Source organism: Homo sapiens, chromosome 1 (genome assembly GCF_000001405.40).
Source record: "Homo sapiens chromosome 1, GRCh38.p14 Primary Assembly".
NCBI lineage: Eukaryota > Metazoa > Chordata > Mammalia > Primates > Hominidae > Homo > Homo sapiens.
The window spans coordinates 10620278-10644274 of record NC_000001.11 but is presented as its reverse complement, the minus strand read 5'-3'; the positions used below and the strand labels follow the sequence as shown (position 1 = coordinate 10644274).

Genomic DNA, 23997 nt, shown 5'->3' with positions numbered 1-23997 from the left:
GGAGCTGAGCCCCTGGCCCCTGTTCACAGCCTGCTGATGAGGCAGGACTCTCCCTAGGAAGAGACCAGAACCCACGGGCAGGCGGGAGCCAGGCCGCCCAGCAGAGGCCCCTGGGCTGCAGGCAAGGCCCGTTGTGGCCTGGTGGTCAGGGCAGCAGGGGTGGGGGCTGCTGCATTCTGGTCCTTCCAAAAGTGAAAGGTGACATCCTCAAAGTCAACTGCCAGAAAAAGGAAACAAACCTTGCCTTCAAGTATGAATTCAAAAAGGAGTTCTCGGCCAGGGAGAGGACTGGTAGCCATGCCAATAAGCGTCAACACTTGCGGCCTGTGCTGTCCCTGGGCTCAGTTTACAGATGTCAGGGTATTCTGCAGTTGCTATTATTTACTCAACTTGTGGTGTTTTTGGCGATAGTTGGGGCCAAACAAAGCTGGGGGATGACAGAAGACACCTGGCCGGCCTGGGCGCCATGGCAGCGGACAGGCCCTCACCTGCCCCATGATGCTGTTTCAGTCCCGCCTGCTCTGTTTGTTCTCGGCCCAGAGCGAGGCCCCGTGGGTGCTGGGGCCTGGGCAGAGGGGCAGACAGCACCCCGGGCTCCCCAGCAGAGATGTGGGGACAGGTGGCTTCCTGGGAGGTAGCTGGCCCAGTGTGCAGGGACCATGAGGGTCCCTTGCCTTGGAACTGTGCACCTCCCTGTGTGTGAGCCAGGGGATGGGGGCCTGCCCAGCATTGTCACTCGCCTCTGCCAGGCTGGAGAGGAGGCCCAGGGTTTGGACAGCCAGGGGGCTTTGGACTTCCTGACCTTCCTCCTAAGACTGCCACCTCGGCTCAGCGCCCTTTCCCCAGATACCATCTGCCTTACTGACCACACTGCCCCCATGCCCAGAACAGTGCCCAACAGGACCTGGAAGCCATGAGCGCTGGCCAGCTGGGGGCTCATGCCAGGTGGGGCTGTGTCCACAGGTTGCAAGTACAACCAGGTGAACAGCCACTTCCACTGCATCCGGGAGGGCTGCCAGTTCTCCTTCCTCCTCAAGCACCAGATGACCTCCCACGCGCGGAAGCACATGCGGAGGATGCTGGGGAAGAACTTCGACCGCGTGCCCCCCTCCCAGGTGAGAGCCCCCCCCAGGTGAGAGCCCAGCCAGGGTGGCGGGAACGCATCATGGTCCCACGCTCACTCTCAGGCCTGTGCTGCATGGAGCCTCAGCCTGCCCTCTGTGGGCAGCATACCCCACAGCCCCACTTCCTCAGGGACCCCCGTGTCCTTTCAGGGCCCCCCAGGCCTGATGGATGCTGAGACAGATGAGTGCATGGACTACACTGGCTGCAGCCCAGGCGCCATGTCCTCTGAGTCATCCACCATGGACCGGAGCTGCTCCAGCACCCCCGTGGGTAACGAGAGCACCGCGGCAGGTGAGCGGCAGGCAGGGGCTGCTGGCAGGGCCAGGCCCCACTCCCAAAGCCCAGCACCGCTGGGTGCAGCTTGGGACAGAAGGTCCGGGGCACGCGGCCTCCGAGGAGGACAGGCTGGCGTGCAGCAGAGCCAGCTGGTCTGTGGGACTGGGTCATCGAGGCCCCTCCCGCCATCCTCCCGCCTCCCTGGCACTGCCCTTTGCGTCAGTTTCCGGGAGAGGACCCTGGGCCCGTCCTCTCTGAGCCACAGCGGGAGCAGCGCAGCCCCAGCCTCCTTCCTCCGCTGCCTCCCACCCGGCCTGGGCCCAGCGCCGGTCCTGCCCGGCACACCTGCCCACGTGACCCCTGGCACTGCCCCGCCTCTCTCTCCTCCTGCCCCTTCTTCTTGTGTCCCTCTCTCTGCTCATCCGTGCACACATTTTCATGCCATACCTGCTTCTGCCATCGGGTTTCTCATTTTGGTTCTTTCTGTTTGTTTGTTCTTTGTTTTGGTTTCTTTTTTTTTTTTTTTTTCTGCTTTTCTCCACCCTCTCCAGGCTGCCCGGCTCCTCCTCCTCCTCCTCTTCCTCCTCCTGCGGCCGCTGGTGATGAGGCTGCCCGCACGGCCCCGCAGCCGCCAGCGACTCCATCCTTCTCGCCGGCCACGCTCCGGCCGCCCCTCCCCCCCCTCCCCTGCCTCTTCTCTCCGTCCTGTCTCTCATACTCTCTGCTCAGTGCCACTCTCGGAGCCGGCCGGGGCCTGGCCCATCCCACCTGCAGCCCGCCCAGCTTCCCGCCCGTCACTGCCACTCCAACTCCAGTAAAAAGTGACGTCCCCCTAGTTCAGGATGCTGCAGGTAACGCGCACATGCCTTCTCACCGCTGTCCATCACCCCAACCCACCCTCCAGGCCACGCTCCGGGGCCTGACCCTTTTCTGCAGCCAGCCAGGCCAAGGACGGGGCCACTCTGCACCCCTCACAGCCAAGCATCCCCGAGACTAGAGAGCGTGGTCTCCATCCCAGGGACAACTCCTCGTGGCTCCTGCTCAGTGCTGGGCAGGCCAGAGCACTGCTGCCAGGGATTCTCCCTTGTTCACAACTGCTCAGAGTCCCAGAGATGGCTGATCCTGCCGGAGGCCCTGTAGGGTCTGCCTTCCTCGGCCTGGGGCAAGGCAGGACCTGTCCCTTCTACTCTGAGGAGTCCCCCTGGGATCTGGCACTAGGGAGAGATAGAGGAGGCTTTCGGGAAGGTCTGCTGGGGTCTGGGACCTGCCCAGGTTCAGAGGGTCCAGATTCCAGCCTGAGCCCCGGGCCACGCCCAAAGCTGAGCAGTAAGGGAAGTCTCTGTGGACTCAGGCCCCGGCAGTGCTCAGGGGCAGAGGCACCTCCCATCCCACCCCCATATCTGATACCCACCGGGATGGCATCTGCCCGCCCCCTCCCTTGAGCGTAGACACCACCCGGGCTCGGACTCCTCTGCTAATTCTTGCCTCACGTGCTGCCTGAGTACAGGCCCCAGGAGTTATGGCCAGGGCAGGGCCGAGCCTCCCCCTCCTCAGGGACTTCCGGCTGTTGGAAGCTCCACTCTGGCATAACCAGACCCTGTGACTTCAGACCCAAAGCCGCTCCTCACCCACCAGGTTTTGGGCCTGAGGCCATCCCTTGCCCCCTGCCTGGGTGCCCCTACACCGTCACAGCCCTTAGTCTCTCTCCGTTTTTGTCCACTCCGGGTGGCCTATGGGGCCTGGCCTGAAATGGGCAGGGCAGACATTTGGTGGCTAGAGTGACTGCTGGGCCTTCTAAGCAGGCTCTGGGGGAGCCAGGCAGGTCAGCCGTGTGGGAGGAGCCCAGAGGCTACCCACGCTCTGGTGGGGCTGGTCAGAGAGCTTCTCTTGTTTGTGGAGGGTGGCGTGGGGAGCCAGGACTAGCTGCCTGTGCCTCTGGCAGGAGCTGGGGCTTCCCCTCACCCATGGCCATAGGGGCACAGGTACCTCCCAGAAAGGGTTACAACCCTGGCCTTGGCAGGGGGGCATCCTAAATCCCAGGAAGCAGTCTGGGCCAGCTGGACATAAATGGGCTCCGCTCCCCATGGCTGAGCCCCTGCCCTGGTCCTGACCCAGGTAAATTACGACTCTGAGCAGAGGGCAGAGGCATTGAGCTCCCTGAGTCCTGGTCCTCCATCAGGGCTGCCCTCTCCCAGCCCTTGGGGTAGAAAACCCCAACAAGACCTTAAAGAACCTTCTGGTACCAAGGACAAGGTGCTCCTTAGGGCAGGGAGTTGCAGCCCCGCACAGCCCTGGGGCACTTGGCACCCCTACTGTGAGTAGGCAGCTCCCCCTGTGCAGACAGGCGCAGCCAGGGAAGCCGGGTAGCCGGCGGGAAAGGAGCCGGCCTGTCCCTCATTAGAGGCAGCTATAGCTGGCGTCTTGGCCCGAGTCCAACTTGGCTAATTGCACTCTGCCGACCTAGATTCCCCCTTCAGCTTCAATTAGCGCCAGGACGTGTCCTCACTTCCCACCCAAACTGGCCAGGAAGCAGCCACCACGTCCCCCAGAGCTGGTTGGGCTGCCACCCCCCGGGGGAGAGGCCTGTGTGGCCCTTCTGCAGACAGGGATGAGGAGGGGAAGCCCAGGACCCCTGCTGTGCCAGGGTAGGGAGGGGGCGGGGCAGGAGAGGCCTCCCAAGCCAGGGGAAGCCGAGGGCTCCCTAAATGCCGCCCTCTGGCGCCATGCCAGATCAGGGGTCCCATGTGGGTGTAACCCTGTTGATGGTGCCCACGTGGGTCCCTCTTCTGCACTGACCTCCCTGCCCCTCCCCAGGGAACACCATCTCTATGCCGACAGCCTCGGGGGCCAAAAAGCGCTTCTGGATCATCGAGGACATGTCGCCCTTCGGCAAGCGGCGGAAGACGGCGTCCTCCCGGAAGATGCTGGACGAGGGCATGATGCTGGAGGGCTTCCGGCGCTTCGACCTTTACGAGGACTGCAAGGACGCAGCTTGTCAGTTCTCGCTCAAGGTCACCCACTACCACTGCACGCGCGAGAACTGCGGCTACAAGTTCTGCGGGCGCACGCACATGTACAAGCACGCGCAGCACCACGACCGCGTGGACAACCTGGTGCTGGACGACTTCAAGCGCTTCAAGGCCTCACTCAGCTGCCACTTCGCCGACTGCCCCTTCTCGGGCACCAGCACGCACTTCCACTGCCTGCGCTGCCGCTTCCGCTGCACCGACAGCACCAAGGTCACGGCGCATCGCAAGCACCACGGCAAACAGGACGTGATCAGCGCCGCGGGCTTCTGCCAGTTCAGCTCCAGCGCCGACTGCGCCGTGCCCGACTGCAAGTACAAGCTCAAGTGCTCGCACTTCCACTGCACCTTCCCGGGCTGCCGCCACACGGTGGTGGGCATGTCGCAGATGGACTCGCACAAGCGCAAGCACGAGAAGCAGGAGCGCGGCGAGCCCGCGGCAGAGGGCCCCGCGCCCGGGCCTCCCATCAGTCTGGACGGCTCCCTGTCGCTGGGCGCCGAGCCGGGCTCGCTGCTCTTCCTGCAGTCGGCGGCCGCCGGCCTGGGCCTGGCGCTGGGCGACGCGGGCGACCCCGGCCCGCCCGACGCCGCCGCCCCCGGGCCGCGCGAGGGCGCCGCCGCCGCCGCCGCCGCAGCTGGGGAGTCCTCGCAGGAGGACGAGGAGGAGGAGCTGGAGCTGCCGGAGGAGGAGGCCGAAGACGACGAGGACGAGGACGACGACGAGGACGACGACGACGAGGACGACGACGAGGACGACGACGACGAGGACCTGCGCACCGACTCGGAGGAGTCGCTGCCCGAGGCGGCGGCGGAGGCGGCGGGCGCGGGCGCGCGGACCCCGGCCTTGGCGGCGCTGGCGGCCCTGGGCGCCCCCGGCCCCGCGCCCACTGCAGCCTCCTCGCCCTAGCGGCGCCCGCGGGTGGCCCTGGCGGCGGCCTCGGCCTCGGCCTCGGGAGCGGCGCCGCCCCGCGCGAAGCGGCCCCTGGGCAGAGCCCCGCGCCCCGCCGGTGCTTCCGGACCCCGAGTCCGTCTCAGGACAGAGGCGGGGACCCCTCTGGTGCTCCGCGGCCGAGGACACAGGCGGCGGCGGTGGCCCTGCTCTAGGGAGGCCGGGTCTCTTCAGGGAAACAGAAGGTGCTCTTGTCCCGGGGTAGGGAACCTAGGAGCAGGGGTCCCGGGCGAATGCGGCGCAGCTCCCGGCCGCTGCCCCGGCGCCCCTCCCCGCGGCCGATTCGGCCCCGCGACCATTGCTCAGGACTGGGACGGGCGCTGGGGGCCACCGGGACCCCCACCGCGCGCCACCAGGGCGGGGTGGCTCCTGGAGCCGCTGGCGGGGCCTCCCTCATGCAGCTAGGATCCTCCCCCCTGCCCAGGGGGAGACGGGCAGAAGGCAGTCAGCACGGGTGACACTACAGGGACCGTGGAGGAAGCCTCACGGGAGTAGCAGCCGCGGAGCTCCAGCTCAGCCCCACCCCAGGGCCCGGCTGCTCCCCCAGGCCTGGGTCGGGTCTGTTTGGCGACTCCCTGGCCCCAGCCTCCGCCCCAGGGAAACCGAGGCTGCGTCCAAAACCCAGAGTAGCCCGCTGGGGGCCGGGGCGGGGTCTCGGCCACCCTGGTGGTGCAAACAGGAAGGATGCGCCTGGTTTTGGCTTTAATGTTCAAAATGGAAAAAAATACAAGAAAGTTGTACAGTATTTTTCCTGTAAAGGTTATTATTCTACATAGAACAAAAAGGAAGAAAGCAGGCGTGGTGAGAGTGCAGACCCGCCTGGGCCCGGCCTGAGGTTGGAGGCTCAGTCCCGTTTATCCTGTGGGATTTGGTCCAGGGTTTTTGTAGAGGCCTTAACTGTTTGAGGCTGTCTGTCTTCACAATAGCACTGATGGGAGCTGCGTGATTCCAACTCTTAACTTGAATTTTGTAGAGACAAGAAAAAAGGACTATTACTGTTGATCCAAGTTTGTAGTTAATTTAACATTTGAGTTCTCTCTTGGTGATGCGTGTGGCTTTATAGGGCTTTTTTTTTTTTCCAGTTTGTTTTATTACTTTGTTTGGGATGCTTCTTCGCTGGTGCAGTCTACCCAGATTGGGTTCCCTTTGCAAAACATCCCCCTTCCTGGAGATGATGATGCCATCGAAGCCCGGGCCAGGGCCTGACCTGGCAGGCACACACCTGGCCAGTGGCTCTGAGGTCCCCGGGGACCGAGTCCCCTGCGAGGGCAGGCTGCCCGAGGCCACACCTGCCCACCTTCCCTACTCCAGGCCACCAGCTGGTGTCAGATTGGGCCACCGGGAGAGAACAGGCCTAGGAGGGAATGGAAGGCTGGCGGGGAGGCTGTCATCCAGAAGCCTCCTCCCCAGAGGTCTCCAGGAGGAACCTGGCTCAACTGGGGGGCAGTGGTTTACTTTTCCCTTTTTTCTTCCTTTCTTTTGTCCTCTCAGCTGCCCACAGCCAGAAAGCCAGGACCACCCGAACTGGACAGGGAGCAGGGAGGGAGGAGTGGTCGCACGGAGCGTACCTGATTCAACAGGAAATCAGTTATTTTCTAAAACAGCCCCTACCAGAGCCTCCTGAACTCTGTGGGCACCACGTGCTGCTGTGAGCATCTGCCCAGACAGTGACCCGCCACAGGCCCCGGGCGTCTGTGGAAGGAGTTTTGTAAAGGAAAAAAAAACACACACACACAAACATTTTTTCAATGTAGCAAAATCAAACTTAAAAAAAAAAAAGAAGAAAAGAAGAAGATGCCGACAGTGCGGAGTCTAGCCTTTTGTAAACTTCATATTGCACACTAGGACTATAAGCCATTGCTAGCTCATTTTGAATTTTAACGTGTAATTTTTGTTTTATTTTCTTTCTGTGGGGAAACAATGCTTGATCCACCAATGCTCTTTTTAATGTTTTATAACTATGTATGTGTATATATATAAATATCAAATAATATGTATGCACATATGTGTGTGTATATATCTATATGTATATACATATATAGATATATAGAGATATATAGAGAGGTTTTGAGACAAAAAAAATACAGAACGTGAAACCCGAGCTGAACAGCGTGTGCTCTGATTACTTGAATCTGGTCTCCTCGGCACCTGGTTATTAAGAACTGAATATTTTTCCACTTGAATTTAGTGCTATTAGAAATTTAATATATGTGTTTTATTTATTTGATTTTTTTTTTTTTTTTTGCATGACTGATGCAAGGTTTGACATTTTCACTCAATAAAAACTGGAAAAAAATCTATCAAGTTATCTTTTATTCTTAAAATCGCCCCCAATCGGCTGGCCATGACCCAGCTACACCGGTGGGGTGACGGGAGGAGTTGGGCACCCTTCGACCCTGGCAGGAAAAGCGGGGAACAGACCAGTTTTGTCCCCGGGCTGCTGGGGACAGAGGTAGGGGGCTCATTCCTGGCCTGGCCAGAAGGGTAGCCTCCTCCCCAGCCCTGCTTGAAGCCCCCACTTGGGGCTCAGGAGCCATCTTTGGGCAGAGCCATTTGACACCAAGGCCTGGGTCGTCGGACAAAGGCCCTGCAGCCTCCCAGGACCCCCACCCCAGCCAACCCTCTCCTCTCCTGGGCTGCTGGGCCGGCGTTGGCAGGGCCACCCTCCTGCCTCCTCCCTCGGCTCCTTCCTCCTTCCTGCAGGGACCTGCCCGGGCTGGGAACGGCGCGTACCCGGATCCAATCCGGATGCTGGCGCGACTCCTGCCTGGAGCACAGGGTGGCAGAGCCAGAAGGGGCCGATAATTCCTGGGTCCGTAGCCACCAGCCCAGAGCCTGAGCTGCCAGCCCTGGTGGCACCGTGGTTGGCTCCCTCGGAAGCACAGTGGCCGGAGTGTCCACCAGACCTAGCCTGGAGTACAGGCCTCCCAGGCGCTCCGAGAGTTTGTCTTGACACTTCCAACTGATGGCCGGCTCCTCACGACACCACATCGTGAGAATCACCTTGGCAGCCCCTCCCTGAGCTGGACTCCAGGTGGCCGGAGCTTCCTGGGACCTTGGGGAGGGGATGTGTGCGGGATCTGCCACATTCTTCCACGCTGAGGAGTCTTACCGGCTCATCACACCCCAGCCACAGGGATGTCACAACCACTTGCCCGATGAGGAAACAGGCAGACTTGGGGGCTGGAGAGGTTCGGTTATCGCAGCACGCTTCTCCCTCACTGAGCCTGGCACCAGCCGGCCAGGCACCAGGCACCAGGGACCAGGGACGGCAGGGGAGTGGCCTCAGCCCACAGCGCCCAGGCCTGTGTCATTTCCCACCGCAGAAGTGCGTCTCCAGCCCAGCCCCGGCGCGCGGGCACTCCCTTTCTTCTTTCCTCCTGGAATGCAGCCCACAGGCTATTTACATAAATATGTTTGTAACAGACATGAAAATATATACTTTTTTCTGTCTTATTAAAATGTTCAAGTTGGAACTCGCCTATTGTTTGCGGATATCTTGATTCTGTTAAATAAAACAGTGACTAATTTATGGGATAAAACACAAGTTCAACAAATTAAAACCATTATTGGAGCTTCCCAGGCCCTGGTGGGCCTCCCGTGGGGCCTGAAGCGAGGCAGGGAGCCAAGCCCTGAGCAGCCGGTGGGTGGGTGGTGCAGCCACAGAGCTCCCTCTAGGCTCCGGCACAGTGGGCAGCTCTCTGGGGCAGCACTGACTCCTGGGGCCCAGGGGAGGGAGAATGGGGACTCAGGGTGGTTTGCTGACCTTGGCCAGACCCCAAAACTGCCCCCTGGTCTTCTGGGCCTGGATGGACCACACCCAGGGTCAACCAACCTCACGACAAGCAGGGCCCCGAGTCCAGCCCAAGGAAGGGGAACGGGGACTCGGGGACCTCTCAGAGGCATCTCAAGGCCTCAGGACGCTGCACCCAGGCCAGCCCATGATGCCACATCCCAGGCCCCGCCCCAGAGGGTGGAGAGAAGCTCGTACCCCCACCAGGCATGTGTTGCCCACTCTGAGACCGCCCCCAAGAGCCGGGAGGGGGCCTGCAGCTGCGGGTTGGGATGGGCCCAGGTCCCACGGCACTCCCTGTGGCTTGTTGGACTCAGTAGGAAATGCAGTAAAGCATGCTTTCCTTCTGGGATTTAATTAGCTGTGGTGTGTGATGCTCCTACACCCAAACTGGGGCAAATTCAAGTGTTTTGCAACCTCCTGGAAAGGGCCAGAACCCGCCGCACAGGCTCAGGGCTGAGCTCAGGGGCCTGCCCACCTCCCACGGACCTGGCCCAGCAGGGGCGCCACCAGCAACCTGAGTCACCCGTGGGCGCCGGGCCTTGGCGCTCACGAAGCGGCCTTGCCCCAGCCTGGACATGGCGACAGGCAGCCCCCTTTCTGGGCAGCATACCAGGCCACTGGGCAAAGGCCAGCTGCCCATCCACTGTCACGGGAGGTGGCCCTGGCCCCACAGGTAGCGTTGGTCTAGGACCAGGGCTGGCAGCAGTGCCCTCTGAAGGGCTGGAATCCCAGAGCCTTGTCTGAGAATGAAGCAGCCAGGCCCCGGCCATCCTTGCTGGGAGGTGCCTCCGCACCCTCTGGGGCAGGTCAGGGAGGAATCGGCAGCTCCCAGGGGGCCCACAGCCAGCGCTGGAGCAGCTGGACCCAGTGGCTTGGCCTCCAGTAAGCCCCATGCCCCACACCACTGGAAGGAGGCAGGGATCCCCAAGAAAGAACCTCGCTGCCCGGAGCCTCCCTGAGGCTGGCTCCTCCCCCTGGGGCTATAACGCATCTGGATGCCAAGTGTCATGGTGGTGTTTAAAGCCATGACCCTGTCGCTTGAAAGAAGGTCCTTCCAGTATCTGTCGTGGAGCAAGGAAAGGTTTCAGGCATCTTTCTGATGAACATATCATGTATCTCATTTCTTCTTCTAGGAGAACACAAACTATAAAGTGCTCAATGAAAGTAAATTATTAAGGTTTATTCATGATTCAGGTAGTCATCCCTCAATGCCAGGCGAGATTTCAGACCCGTTTTGCATTAAAGAGAGTGCCAAGGCTGTGGTCTGAGCTGTGGCCTGCAATGGGCACGTGTTGGAGGAGGACATGGGGACCTCTTGAAAAGGGCCCACTGGGCCCTGCGTGAGTGTGAGGGTGCCACACACATGTGCACGCACATGCATGTCAGCATGTGCCAGCTCGGGCGTGGCTCCCCCTGGCCAGGCGGTGGCCAGTCCCTAGGTGGGAAGCCCCTGTACACAGCAAAGGAGCAGGAGGAGGAAGAGCGGCCAGGCCCTCCAGGTCTACCTGGGTGCTACACCTCAGGAGCGCACCTCACCTGAGGCTGGAGCTCCCACCTGCATGCAGGTCTCACTGGCGCCTCCGTGCCTGCCCTGTCTGGAGGCTCTGACCTCTTCTTTTGGTGCCTTGGCAGAAACCAGTTTAAACAAAAGACAAATTAAGTCAACTCCTGGGGACAGAGATGTCTGGCCATTGAAGAATGGCCCCTGCTTGCCCTCCCCTTCCCTCCTGGGGTCTGGGGCAGGGACAGGGTGGTCACCTGGAGAGGGAGGGGTCTGGGGCAAGGCCGGAGACCCAGCGCCTCCATGCTCCTGGCTGGGCCGCCAGGAGGGCAGAAGCGAAACCTTCTAGAAAACTCTTCCACCTGTACCTGGGTGTGAGGGCCCCGAAAGATGAACACAGCTTGCTCAGATGCGTTTATTAAAAACAAAGAAAGAGGGAAAGAGACTCTGTGGGCACACAGGGAGCCGATGGGCAGGTGGCAGGTTCTCGCATCTCTGTCCCCTTCTATGTGGATTGGCTTTGCTACACATCCCACCTGTGGGTACAAACTCAGCAGCCCCTTCCCCTGACCCAGGCGCTCCCTGTCCCAGCCAGGGTCCTGGGATGGGACTGGCTCTGGGAGCCTTGGCTTTTGAAGGACTTGGCAGCCCCAGGCGGGCGGAGACCCTACCATCCCCCGAAGGCAACTCCCCCGCCTCCTGGCCTGTCCTGCGAGTCGCAAACACCAAGGGAGGTCCCCTGTCCTTCCCAAAGTAGATGCCCCTGCCCAAGGCAGAACCAGCGAGTTACCGGAGGAGCCGGGACAGACCCCGGGGACCGAGGGAGCTGGTCCGGGGTGAGGTCAGGGCAGCTGTCCCCCGGCCTCCAAGCATGGGGCTAGTTCTTTCCTAAAAGACACTTTATAAAAATACATTGTAATTGAGTTTAATAATCTTCTCCCTTCCAGAAAGGGCCTGACAGGCGCTGCCTGCTGCTTACTTCTGCCCCATTCCGAATATTTTTACCTTATTTGGATGAAATGCATTATTTTTCTAATGAAAGGCTTTTTTTTTTCAAAGGGCTGTTTTCCCTGGTCCAGCAGCTGGCTTTATTAGGCAGCACTCCTGCCGTTTTGGGGAGGGGTTTTTCTCTCCCTGAAATCACGCCAGACTCTGTCCTCAAAAGCCGAATTCGGTGCTCAGGACCCACAGGGGCAAAAGGCCTCCGGGCCCAGGTTTCTGTCCGTTTCTCCTCCACGCTTGAGCCTCAGGGATGTGCCAGCCCACTGACCCCCAGGATGGAGAGTGCTTGCCCTGTGAGGTCTCCATTGCCCCCACCCCAGGGATAGTGAAGCCCCAGGGAATCCCTTTCTTGGTGGCCCCAGCTCTCCAGGGAGAAATGGAGCCGGGAAGCTGGCACTTCACTTCCACAGCACCAACCCCACAGCCCTGGCTTCCCTTCCTTCCCAGGGTATCTGCCCTCTGGTCTCCCTTTCTAGTCCCACTGGAGGAGGGACCTCTGAGAAGTTACAGACAATGGCCACCAGGCAGCAAATGACAGGGGGCGGGGACTCCTCAGGAACCGATCCGTCCAGATGCAGGCCTGTGACCCAGCAGGTCTGAGGGTGGGACACAGGCAGTCACTGTCCCCAGAGCCAGGCCGAGGCCTGGCCCACCTGTCTGCCCACCGCAGCTCCCAGACACTGGGACTCCTGGGGTCCTGGTAGGCAGGACCCCCTCGTCCAGGTGAGGGTGGCAGCCCCTGGGAATTGAGACACCTGCTTCTTCAGGGACAGCAAGGAGGCCAGGGAAAAAGGAGAACAAGCCATAGTGTGACACTGAACTGGGCTCCGCTCGTCCCTGGGGAACACGTAGCTGGAAACAGGAAATGCAGGAGTGTCCTTCCAGGTGACAAGCATGAAAGACACAACCCGCAGGCCAGAAACCAGATTGGGGCTGGACCCTCCAGCAGGTGGGTTCAGCCTGCTCCCGGTGACCCTCCAGTGGGTGGGTGCAGCCCAGTACTGGGGACCCTCCAGTGGGTAGGGGCAGACCTGCTCCCAGGGACCCTCCAGTGGGTGGGGGTGGACCTGCTCCAGGGGTCCCTCCAGCAGGTGGAGGCAGCCGGGTCCCAGGGACTCTTGAGTGAGCGGGGGCGGCCCGGGCCTGGAAACCCGTCACTTTAGCAGGACCTGTGTTCCCAGCATTAAGAAGGGTTTGCTGCAGGGGCCAAAAGCGAAACATCTGAGACAAAACAGCCCCAACACCAAGTCTCTGAGCCCAACCACATGGCCTCCTCCCTCCCCAGCAGAGGGAGGGGCAGGGCGGAGCAGGTACATGGAGGTCGCACCCGCAGGGACTGCCCAGGGCTTCCTATTTCCGAAGCCCTTGTGTCCACACAGGCACATGGACATCACGGCGCCTGCGGCCCACGAGCCTGGTCCTGACACTTGGGGGCTGCAGGGAATAGGAGCGCCCCTCAAGGAGCCCATGGCTCTGCTCTTCTGGTTTTAGCCAAATGCTCTGTGAAGGGGAAAGGGAGACTGGGAGGAAAAGAGCCAGGGGAGACAGGGAGCCAGAGAGGACGCCACACTCCCCTCCCCGGGAAGCATTCGTCCATTTAAGGAAGAGCTCCTCACTCCACATGAGGTCTATATACAGTCACACGAGGTCCCTGATCCTCCTGCGGTCAGCAAAGTGTCGCCCTCCGGCAGCCACTGGACCTGAACAAGGCCTCTGCTTCTGGCTCAGCAGCGGCGGAAGCTGCCCATGGGCCCTCACCCACACTTCACCAGCTGGAGGCTGCGCTGAGACGAACCCCCGGGCCCAGGGTGCCATGAGCAGACAGGGAGCCACAGGCAGAAATTAAATAGTGGCAACTGGTATTTATTACAATTATATACAGTCCTATCTTCCGTTCTGAGGTCTATACATGATCACACAAATGAACATGTGTTTCCTGGGGGGAAGGACAGAGCTGGCTGTTGGTCAGGAAGGCCCTGCTGCCTGGCTCCTCCTCCGGAGTGAGCCCCCATCTCGCCATGGGATTAGCTGAACCATTACACGGCAAGCGGGGGCATCGGAAGCGCAGCGTGGTTTCATTTGTCTGGGAGGACGACGGGGCATGAGTGGGGTTGGGGCTGGGGACAGGCACCTGACGGGTCCAGGGCCGGGCCCAGGGAGGGAGGGGGATGGCAGACACCAGAGGGACCGCAGCTCCTCCTCCACTGAGGAGTCGGGAGGCAGTAGGGACGCTAGCTCTGGCCATGCGTGGTGTCACGGTAGTCAAGACACTCAGCAAACACACCCTGGGCAAGGCGTCTGTCCGGGAGAGGGGGCTGGGGAGGGGCTTGGGCCCCGAGGCTTCGCTGCCTTCAGCCTGACTTGAGATCAAAGCCAAAGGCAGCTGGGCCTGGGGCTGGGGCTGGGGCTGGGGCTGGCGGCCAGGCGAGAGGAGGCCAGGTGGACAGAAGTGTGACTCCCCACACTGCCACCAGGCCGCAGTGCAGCTGAGGACAGCTCTGCCCCCTACCTGGGCTCCAAGCTGCCCTCCCAGGGCCAGAGAGGGAGGCAGGGTATGGCCACGCACGGGCACACTAGATGCCATCCTCAGGGCTGGAGGCAGCAGGCGCAGCCCTAGTCCCGCTCACTCTCGTTGCTGGCGCCCTCGGGCCGCCGCAGCTTCTCCACCTGCTCGTTGATCTGCCCATCCCCGCCCCGGCGGTCCTCCCTCTGCACCCCCAGGCAGTCCTCCTCGTCCACATGGCTCACATCATCATCCTCCTCATCCTCCTCGTCCTCCTTGTCCTCCCTCTTCTCCTCCTCGCCTTGCACCTCCATCCGCACCTGGCCCTTGACGTCCACCACCCCCTCGCCTTCCTCCTGGGGGCCCAGCAAGTGGTAGGTGACCGTGGAGCCCTCGGGGCTGTGGCCCTCCTTCCCAGGCGAGGACGACGTGGACTCGTTGCTGACAGGTGAGATGTCGCTGCTGCTGTGGTGGTTCACGGCCGCAGGGCTGGAGGGTGACGGTGACTTGACTGGGATCTGCCAGGAGGGGATCTTCGGGGCTGATGGGGATGGAGGGAACTGCCTCCTAGAGGGAGAAGAAGGGGAGGAGGTTGGTGGCGGCATTCAGGACGCCCCCCTTCGAAGGGCCACGCCTTCCCTGACCCGCAAGGGCTCGGCGATGGTGAGCTGCTCCCCCAGGGACACTGGGCAAGGGACAGGATGGAGCCCTTCCACCCCTCCTTTCAGGAGCAAAGATCCTACAGCTGAGATAGATGCCAAGCGGGTCCTGTGCCCCCACAGACAGCCCAGGGTCCCCCCGGGCCCCCACCCTGGGCAAGGCCCATCTGCCTGGGCAGCTGCTGGAAGCCAAGTGGGGCCTGCCTGCCATGCGGGAGCCTGCTTCCTTCTGATCCTCAGCACCATCCCTGCCTCCAACCCAGTGGCCAGGAGAGAGACAGGTTGGTGAGGAGTCCAAAAGGGCTATGACTGGGGACTCCAGACACCTGAGCCACAGTCCTCATTTGTCTATGGCCTGAGCAAAAGGTGGAGGCAGGGAGCCCTGGCCACTGGCAGGGGGTCAGACACATCAGAACCAAAAGGGCGGTGGTTATGCCCTTTGCTAGAAAACTTCTGAGCTCAACACTTTCAACGCAGAAGAGGCAGCTCTCCCTTCTGCTCCGTACTCCGTTCCTGGGCCAGCAGCCAGCCCAAACCAAAGCCAATTCCAGGAGGGACCTGGGAGGTCAGGTCCACTTGGCAACGGCTCAGAGACAGAGCTCTCCAACAGGCAGGCCCATCTCTGCCTGAGCCAAGAGGACAAAGCCCTGCCCGCAGGGCTGTCCCCCAGCAGGGGCCTTAGACACAACTCTCCCACCACAGACCCCACTTGAGTGGGGCACACACCACGGCCTGCTTTATTCACCAGCATCCTAAACGCTAACAAGAAATTCCATGTGCAGTTTTCTTGGCCCCCACGGTCACCCGATGGCCTGGCCTCCATCCCCAGCCTCCAAGGCACTGGTCTCGGTTAGGGAAAATGGAGGCTGTCTCCTAATGACAATGCTCTGGCCTCTGCCAGCGCCACATCTCTTTCCAGGACATGTTCTTTTCCTCAGGGAAAACCGGGAAGTTGGGTGGCTTGGAAAATGGGGTCTTCTGGCTGGAGCCGCAAGACCCCTCTGCACCCCATCCTGGACCCTAGTGAAAAGCCCACCTGCACCCTCCCACTCACCCAGCTCCCAACAAATCCAGCCCAGCAGGGAAACAAGGACACCCCATGCAAGGCCCACTAGGGCATCAGCCCAGGAGGATGGCCCACAGTTGCGGCTCCCAGGACAGAGTGGCTCCTGGACACTGGACTTTCAGTTTTAAAAAACCAGAACAGTCCAGGCACAGTGGCTCACACCTGTAATCCCAGCACTTTGGGAGGCCATGGGCAGATGACCTGAGGTCGGGAATTCAAGACCAGCCTGGCCAACATAGCAAAATCCCACCTCTACTAAAAATACAAAAATTAGCCGGGAGTGGTGGCGGGCGCCTGTAATCCCAGCTACTCGGGAGGCTGAGGCAGGAGAATGGCGTGAACCCGGGAGGCAGAGGTTGCAGTGAGCCGAGATCGTGCCACTGCACTGCAGCCTGGGCAACAGAGCGAGACTCCATCTCAAAAAAAAATAAAAATAAAAATAAATAAAACCAGGACAGTCCCAGGCAAAGCAGGACAAGTTGGTCACCCTACCTCTGAGGCTGCATTGGTGACAATGTGCTGTCGCTACAGAGGGACAACAGGGGGACAACCAAGAAGCCGGGGGGCAGGGCCTGCTTCTGCCCACGTCTTCAGTTGTGGAACCCTTCCAAGTACAAAACACAAAGACTCTCCCGCAGGGGCTTTCCCTGGGACAAAGCTGTCACTGAGTGGTCACCTGGAGCTCAGGAAGGAGGAGCCAAACCAGGAAGTTCTCCTCTGCTCCAAGGGCCCTGCTTTTTGGCTCAAGCTGTCCCTGACCAGGTCTTCACAGGCCTGGGAACTGTATTTCAAAACTTGTGTGCCACAGACCGTCACCTCTGGAGTGGAGAGGGTGTCAACTGGGGAATGAAGAGAGAAGCTCAAAAGGCCCCAGACTCAGTGCCTGAGTCGCCCAGACAGATGGGGTCCTTGGGGGTGGGGGTGGGCGTCATGCCCCTCCCATGCCCCAGAGCTCCCAGTCCTCCTTTCCAGGCCCGACCAGAACAGGGTCCCCATTCCTCCCTCCTACCGATTTAAAAGAAGCCCTTTCAAGGAGTTAATTTCGGACTTGAGTTCGTTGATATTCTGGGACTCCAGGATCCAGTTGGTGGATGTGGTGGCCTGAAAGCAGAGCACAGGGAGGCTCAGGGCGGGCGCCTTGCGGCACGGGCGGGGCCTGCGGCTGCAGGAGGACCTGGGTGGGGGCAGCAGGTGGGGCCTTCTGGGTCTGTTCTGGGGAACCCGGGGGAAGGTTCTGCCACTGCCCACTGCCTGCCACGTCTCTGGATGACAACATCCTTAAACATTCCCACAGCTCTGTTTGGACATCTGATGACGTAAGGAATCATTACGTGTTTTTAGGTGACATAATGGTATCGTGGGCGTCTTTTAGAGACATGCGGAGGCGTGCGGGTGCGGTATGAAGTGGGATGATGTCTGGGATTTAAGATGGTCCGGGGTGGAAAGAGGAAACAGCCACCATCTCTGACAAACCCCATCCTTCCATGCACACCTTTCCCCTTTGAAGGTAACACTGTTTTCCAAATAAACTTCACAGAACTACATCTTACTTCTGGAAAATCTTGCTGGTATAGACGGGGAAGAGGACAGCCAAACCAGAGGTCCCCAAATGCGAGCTGCTGGTGGCAACCTGCTTGTGGCATGTGCACAGAGGACAATGCCACGAGGCCTCCGTGTGAGGTCTACCTCGCCCAGGCTGAAGGCCACCCCAGGCCATCTTTAAGTGCACAGATGAATATTGCCAGCTCTCCTGATACTGCTCCCCCGAGGTGGGCAGAGGGGACGTTCCCTGGCTGTTCCCTACCAGTGTGCTGTGGGCCGCTGGCTGGCTTACAGAGGCCTGGCCTCTGACGTGGGGTCGGGGGCTGCTGTGGGCTCACCCCAGCAAGCAGTCCAGCTGGCACACCTTAGCAGGGAGAAGTCCTTCAGAGGGCCTGTAGGTCTCAGGAAGGAAAACCCGGGCAGTCTGAGAGTGAGTGCGTGTCACCCACCACCCCCAGACACAGCCCCTCAGGGTTCCTACTCCAGACCGCCAGACAGGGAGGACCCAGGAGCCACGGCTCTGGCTTCTCTGAGACCTTGAAAGCTACAGCAGCCCATGAACAAGGGCACAATTTCCACTCACTGGCCTACAAGGGACTCAGATTTCCAAACGCATATGGTGCCAGATGCCAGGATTTAGAAATAAAATCTGACATCTGGGGCTTTTTAGCCAGCCTCTTTAAAAAACAGTTGTAGAAAACTCATAGCCTTCAGTTTTATGTAGGTTTTTTAATTACTTAAAGCTCTTCTTTTTAATTTTTTACAGTGCTCCAGTAGGAGTTTGGAAGCCAGATATAAAAACTTACATTACAGCTGAGAAAACACAGCTCTGGGTCTTTGGTTTATGGGGTAACCAAAGTCCTCACACATACGCGTTTAGATGCCAAGCCAGTGGCCCCATGCAGCTCGGGAGAGAAGGCTGGGGTGGGCCAGGGACAGCGGCAGCAAAGCCAGCTCGAGGGACTCTGAGGGGCCCAACCCCTCTCACCACCAAGCACATCCCGGGCCCCCACTGCTTCTTAAACACAACATGTGGTCTTAATCTCAGGCGTAAGGCCTGAAAACAGTTTTCCAATTTCCGGAATGGCTTCTGGCCACAGGCAGAGCATGGATCCAAAAGATGACCTGACCCAGGAGAGCAGGCAGGGCTGTCGCTGGGCTTCCTGGTGCTTTAGGGACCGGCCACCCGTGGAGAACACGCATTGCAGTGGCTGGAGGTGGTCACCAGTACCCACAGCCATCCCAGGAGGAAGAGCAGGTGGCACCTCTGTGTGTGGTTTGGATATCCAGGGGGGAGATTCCTGGGACCCTCTTCACAAGAGACACCCCAGACTCCATGGAAAGATTGTCATTTTCATGGTTTTTGCAAATGCAAAAGATCTGAGTGCTGGCTCAAGCCAACTCGTACGCTAGGAGTGGCTTTCCCTGGGTAAGCAACTCGGGATGGGACTCTCCAGAGCCCAGGCTGTGGGGGCAGACAGGGAGCAGTGTCCGCCGGCCACAGAGCTGTGGGACAAGGGACAGAGAGAGGAGCCAGTGGGTGTTCTGGAGCTACCAGGCCACTGTCTCCTGGGCCCGGTCTGTCTGATACCGCCTCAGGGATGACCTCTGTTACCCACCCACAGAACCTAGGCCTGCAATCCTGCGAGCTGGCTGGAGCCAGGCACCCTCTTGAACCCATGAAGAGCCCCAGGAATTAGGTGCCGTTATGGCTCCATTTTACAGATGAGGAGACTAAGACTCAGAGAGGTTAAGTAACTTGCCTGTGGTCATACAGCTAACAAGTGGCAGGACCAGGATTCAGCCTGATCCTGGAAGCTGCCACGCCAAGATTTCTTCACATTTGGGCAGTGAGGCAAGGACACTGCCTTGGGAGTTGGTTCTGGCTCCCTAGGATTGCCAGAACCCATGGAACCTGAGTCTAGAGAACCTGCCCGCTGCACTGCGGTGTGGATGGGGCTGGTGCTGGTGAACTGACTGCGACTCGCTTCTCCCCTGTCTGTTCCAGAACCCCTCCTGGCCATGCTGTGACCTGCAACCTAACTTATAGGTAGAGACCGTCCCATGTCTACACAGAAAGCCTCCAGAGCTGCGGGGATGTGGCTGCCATGAGATCTCCACAGGCAGAGGGTAGCTTTTCCTTCCTCCTGTTGGGAGGTGACATAGAGAGAGAAAGGATGGCCTCGACAGTTAAACGTCACACTGACTGCCCAGCAACAGCCTCCTGTCTCTACAAGGAGAGAAAGGGCAGCATCGGCCACGGCTGTGTAACCACTGTGAGACTGGGGCAAAGTCCAGCTCCCGAAGGTGGCAAGCCCGGCCCAAGGGACAAGAGTGAAGGGCACATGGGACAGACCTGGGCCTGGAGGGCCCTGTGCAGCAGAGACAGGTACCTTGGCAGCGGCCAGCTCGTGGGCAAGCTCCTGGATCTTCTGCTGCTGCTGAATCAGCAGCTCCTGGACGGAGGCGAGGGTCGTCTGTAACTGAGTCACTGCGAGGAGAAAGCAGTCACGGCGCTGGCAAATTCACAGGCACAGACGTTCCCCTCGCTCGGTCCGCACACCTCGGAGCTGCCCGTGTTCCCGCTCCATCTAATTTATCTGCAGACACCCCCAGCCCCCGCAATCCATCTAATTTATCTGCACTCTGGGTGATCTGCCTGCACTGTATCTAACCTCTAGTATTTCTACTTTATCTTTCCATTGTGTAGTTGTCCATGGTCAACAGTATATCCGTCCAGAACCTCTCCCCTCTAATTAGAGCTGGCTATGATTTGCTGAGCTCTCCCGGCTTCTCTGGCGCCTGCGTCCTTCATCTCCTGGGCCTCAGTGTCCTTGTGAAACTCCTGGGGTCTCCAATGCTGGGAGAGATGCATCTCAGGTCCCCGCCACATTCACATCCAGGAGTGGCTCAAGCCGCACGTCCTGTTTCCCACTGCTCCTTCCCACCCTCCCCACCTGACCCAAGCTGCCTGCTCAACTCCCTGGTGTCCCGTGACCCCTCAGGACCTTGTTGCCACCAATGTCAGCCTCGCAGGAGCAAACGGCAGCAGGATGGACGTGTCAGAGGGTTTCTGTGAGCTTCACAAACGTGCTCCAGAGGGACACAGACTCCTGCCTGGGACAGGTGGCTCTCTCATTGGCCTTGCTCTGGTTTTTAGATTCAGAGCTGCCGTCTAGTAAACAAGTTTATAAAGAAGAGAAGCCACCTCTGGCGCGACAGGTCCCAGCTAATCTGGGCCATCGCTGGGGCACTGGGTAATGAACGCGAGCCCTGTTGAGTCGATAACAGGGGAGGTGGCTGGGGTCCCGGGAGCCACAGTAATTACAGACTCTCTTGACCCCACAGTCGAGTCTTAGAGGGAAGGGGGAAAATCACTGAAAACCCCCCTGAAAACCTCATAGAAGCAGAAATTAAAAATGAACTTTACAGCCCTTAGAAAGGCTGTCATTTTATTCCCCTTATTAATATTCTGAGGTTGGGAGCCTTTCCGTAAAAACATAATTAATTGAGGCCGCGCCGACAGTAAACAAGCAATTTCAAATTAAACCGAAATGACGGCGGCTTCATTTGCAAATGTGAACAGATTCTCAGAGCAGATAAATGAAGTCACCACATAGAGTGGAGACAGAGGGAGAGGGGAGGGGCAGAGAAGGGGCTGCTTGGAGAAGGCTGTGAGGGGTGACTTGATGGAGTCATTAATCTTTACCTGTCTGGGCCACGCTGCCACTCAGCTCAGAGAGACCGGCCTCCATCCTCTCCAGCTGCTTTCTGTCCTCTCGGCCGCCCAGGATGAGGGGGAGCAGGTATTTCTGCAAGAAGCGGGACAGGGTGAGGAATGCATACGGACCCGGGGTTATCCTCCAACAATCTCTCAAATTCTGCCGCCCAACTTTCTCCCTGTCATCCCTGGGTTTTGGAAACCCTAAGCAAACACCATAAATGAACAAGATATTTGAAAAAGTTATGAGACTGCGATTACAACCACGTAAAAATTCTGCCTGAATAAGGACAAGGACCAGGAGGGAACGTGGACAGGGAGAGTCAGCTGGATCTGCTGTGATGGGAACTTTTTGGTTCCTTTATTTACTTTTCTTAGTGATGCTACACTATTTCTGTAACACAAAGTTATAAACTCTACTGTCAAAGTTGTAAGATATAAATGTGGATGGACACACAAGCAACAGATAATGCTGGAGCCTCCAGGAGGCGAGGGAGGCGGGGCAGCTCTTCCCGGCATGTTCTCCTGAATTGTGAACATTTTGAACCTGTGAGTGAATCACCTATTCAGAAACAAACGAGTAAATTAATAAACAAAACATCGCTGGAGAAACTAAAGGAAAATCAACAACACATTTCTGGGACCCTTGGTTCTCTCGCCAGGGGATAACATGTGCGCTCTGAGGCTGCTGGAAGAGGTCACCTCAGTCTTTTTCTAAATGAAGCCTGAATCCTCAGAACAAACTTCCTTCACGTAAGAGTCAAAAGAAGTCGAGTTCCCCAGAAGGAAACACAAGGCAGAAGGGAGAGGAAGGCGCAGGACCAGAAGAAACTGGCTCTGGGGAAAAAGAAAGTGAATGCGGCAGGGCCACCCCTCACAGGGGCCTAGAACCAGGGATGCCCGAAGGAGCCGTTCAGGAAGGGGGCAGGCAGGGCAGGGCTGGCAACTGGTGCTCTTGGTTGCCTTGGAGGTGAGGGTGTGGAGGGGTGGAGGTGGGTGGTGGGGCCTGCAGGGACAGCTGCGTGTAGGAACATGTGCACTGACGTCCAGCCACTCGGGACATGGAGACAAAGCCCCCCAGGTGAGGAGTGAGACCCGCTGCCCCCTTCAGTGGGCACTGCCAGAGGCAGTGCAGTGCAAGCCTGGCAGGAGCTGCCCGGGGATAACTTTGGTTCTTAATCTATCTGGGCCCAGATAGGAAAGAGGACGGAAACTTCTCCATTACGGTTTCTGTACCAGGGAAGGAAAAGAAGCTCTCTCACAAGGGGTTTGTGGGAACTCATTTCCAGAGTGACTCCTAAGTGAAGATCATTCTTCAGCAGCACATGTATAGACGCATTTTCTATTTTGCAAAGTGCTTTTCAACCACAGTGTGAGCTATTACCCACAACTGAGCCAAAACTCATCAAAGGTAGCCTTACACTTCAGGATGAAATGTCCTCAGCAAGAAAGGTAAAGAATTCTTGGCCGGGCGCGGTGGCTCACGCTTGTAATCCCAGCACTTTGGGAGGCTGAGGTGGGCAGATCATGAGGTCAGGCGTTCGAGACCAGCCTGGCCAACACAGTGAAACTCCGTCTCTACTAAAAATATAAAGATTAGCTGAGTGTGGTGGCGCATGCCTGTAATCCCAGCTCCTCGGGAGGCTGTGGCTGGAGAATCGCTTGAACCCGGGAGGCAGAGGCTGCAGTGAGCAGAGATCATGCCACTGCACTCCAGCCCGGGTAACAGAGTTAGACTGTGTCTCAAAAAAAAAAAAAAAAAAAAAAGAATTCATATATGTGTGTGTAACCAACTAAACACCCCATTTCTGAGATCAGAAGTCCTAAGGGCAGGAGCAGACACGCTGCCCTAGCCAAAGTCTTCACGTGCTTATAAAGCCAGTCGAGGGCTTTTTACCATTTCTTTTTTTTTTTTTTTTTAATTTCGAGAAACTGAGCAGATGCTTTAGAAATTCTCTTGTTACCATTGTGACTGATATTGCAATGTTTCTTTTCTTTTTAAAACAGAGCGGAGAGCCCAGAGCTTCGTAGAAACTACAAGTGGCAGCTCCGTGTGAGTGCCCACGCTAAGGCGGGCTGCCGAGCTGCCCTCCCGCTCCCGTCAGGCCACAGGCCCTCCATGGGTGGCCATGTGACAGTGCCTACTGCTCATTACAGCCAGGGCATTCATCTGAGGACTCTGGCGTTCGTGTCACATTCTTCTTGGTGCTTGTATACAGTCAGTGATTTGAAGGGGGCACCAGTTCAGAGGGAGAAGAACCGGGTCCCAAGAGGTGTTTTTGTTCTGTTCTGTTTATTTATGTATTTATTTGAGACAAAGTCTCGCTCTTTCACCCACGCTGGAGTGCAGTGGCACAATCTCGGCTCACTGCAGGCTCACTGCAACCTATGCCTCCCAGGCTCAAGTGATTCTCCTGCCTCAGCCTCCCAAGTAGCTGGGATTACAGGTGCACGCCATGACACCCAGCTAATTTTTGTATTATCAGTAGAGACAGGGTTTCACCTTGTTGGCCAGGCTGGTCTCAAACTCCTGACCTCAAGTGATCCGCCCACCTCAGCCTCCCAAAGTCCTGGGATTACAGGCATGAGCCACTGCGCCTGGCTTATTTTGTTTTTTAAATTGAGACAGGGTCTCCTTCTGTTGCCGAGGCTGGAGTGCAGTAGTGTGATCTCAGTTCACTGCAACCTCCACCTCCCGAGCCCAAGTGATCCTCCCACCACCCTCAGCCTCCCGAGTATAGCTGGGACTACAGGCTCACACCACCATGCCTAGCTTATTTATTTTATTTTATTTTATTTTATTTTATTTTATTTTATTGTTTGGTAGAGACA

At 58.5% G+C, this 23997-nt stretch overlaps 2 protein-coding genes across 15 annotated transcripts in view, besides 4 other annotated features; one reads left to right on the top strand and one right to left on the bottom strand.

The window, feature by feature from the left end:
• Positions 1-7671, top strand: part of CASZ1 (castor zinc finger 1) — a 160043-nt gene extending 152372 nt beyond the window's left edge. For 3 of the 5 annotated variants that reach the window (XM_017001540.3, XM_047423404.1, XM_017001539.3), the window contains 4 exons: positions 964-1115; positions 1275-1416; positions 1953-2252; positions 4216-7671. In XM_017001540.3, coding sequence (XP_016857029.1) covers positions 964-1115; positions 1275-1416; positions 1953-2252; positions 4216-5333 — 1712 coding nt within the window. In that variant the 3' untranslated portion in view covers positions 5334-7671. The remainder of the gene's footprint in view (positions 1-963; positions 1116-1274; positions 1417-1952; positions 2253-4215) is intronic. The other 2 variants (NM_001079843.3, XM_005263479.4) reach the window with 1 other exon arrangement.
• Positions 8353-9315: an enhancer, noted in NCBI's record as "H3K27ac-H3K4me1 hESC enhancer chr1:10695017-10695979 (GRCh37/hg19 assembly coordinates)". NCBI's record gives its function as "activates a minimal SCP1, AML or CMV promoter by ChIP-STARR-seq in naive H9 embryonic stem cells {active_cell/tissue: H9 hESC(naive)}" and the evidence as "EXISTENCE:reporter gene assay evidence [ECO:0000049][PMID:30033119]".
• Positions 10278-11241: an enhancer, noted in NCBI's record as "H3K4me1 hESC enhancer chr1:10693091-10694054 (GRCh37/hg19 assembly coordinates)". NCBI's record gives its function as "activates a minimal SCP1, AML or CMV promoter by ChIP-STARR-seq in primed H9 embryonic stem cells {active_cell/tissue: H9 hESC(primed)}" and the evidence as "EXISTENCE:reporter gene assay evidence [ECO:0000049][PMID:30033119]".
• The window catches only part of PEX14 (peroxisomal biogenesis factor 14), a 155809-nt gene continuing 145328 nt past the window's right edge, over positions 13517-23997 (bottom strand). For all 10 annotated transcript variants that reach the window (XM_047422544.1, XM_047422546.1, XM_047422545.1 and 7 more), the window contains 4 exons: positions 21154-21256; positions 19838-19935; positions 16912-17003; positions 13517-14744 (listed from right to left, as the gene is read on the bottom strand). In XM_047422544.1, coding sequence (XP_047278500.1) covers positions 14288-14744; positions 16912-17003; positions 19838-19935; positions 21154-21256 — 750 coding nt within the window. In that variant the 3' untranslated portion in view covers positions 13517-14287. The remainder of the gene's footprint in view (positions 14745-16911; positions 17004-19837; positions 19936-21153; positions 21257-23997) is intronic.
• Positions 19143-20342: an enhancer, noted in NCBI's record as "CDK7 strongly-dependent group 2 enhancer chr1:10683990-10685189 (GRCh37/hg19 assembly coordinates)". NCBI's record gives its function as "activates an origin of replication core promoter dependent on BRD2, BRD4, P300/CBP, MED14 and CDK7 cofactors, with strong dependence on CDK7, by STARR-seq in HCT116 cells {active_cell/tissue: HCT116}" and the evidence as "EXISTENCE:reporter gene assay evidence [ECO:0000049][PMID:35650434]".
• Positions 21666-22165: an enhancer, noted in NCBI's record as "H3K4me1 hESC enhancer chr1:10682167-10682666 (GRCh37/hg19 assembly coordinates)". NCBI's record gives its function as "activates a minimal SCP1, AML or CMV promoter by ChIP-STARR-seq in primed H9 embryonic stem cells {active_cell/tissue: H9 hESC(primed)}" and the evidence as "EXISTENCE:reporter gene assay evidence [ECO:0000049][PMID:30033119]".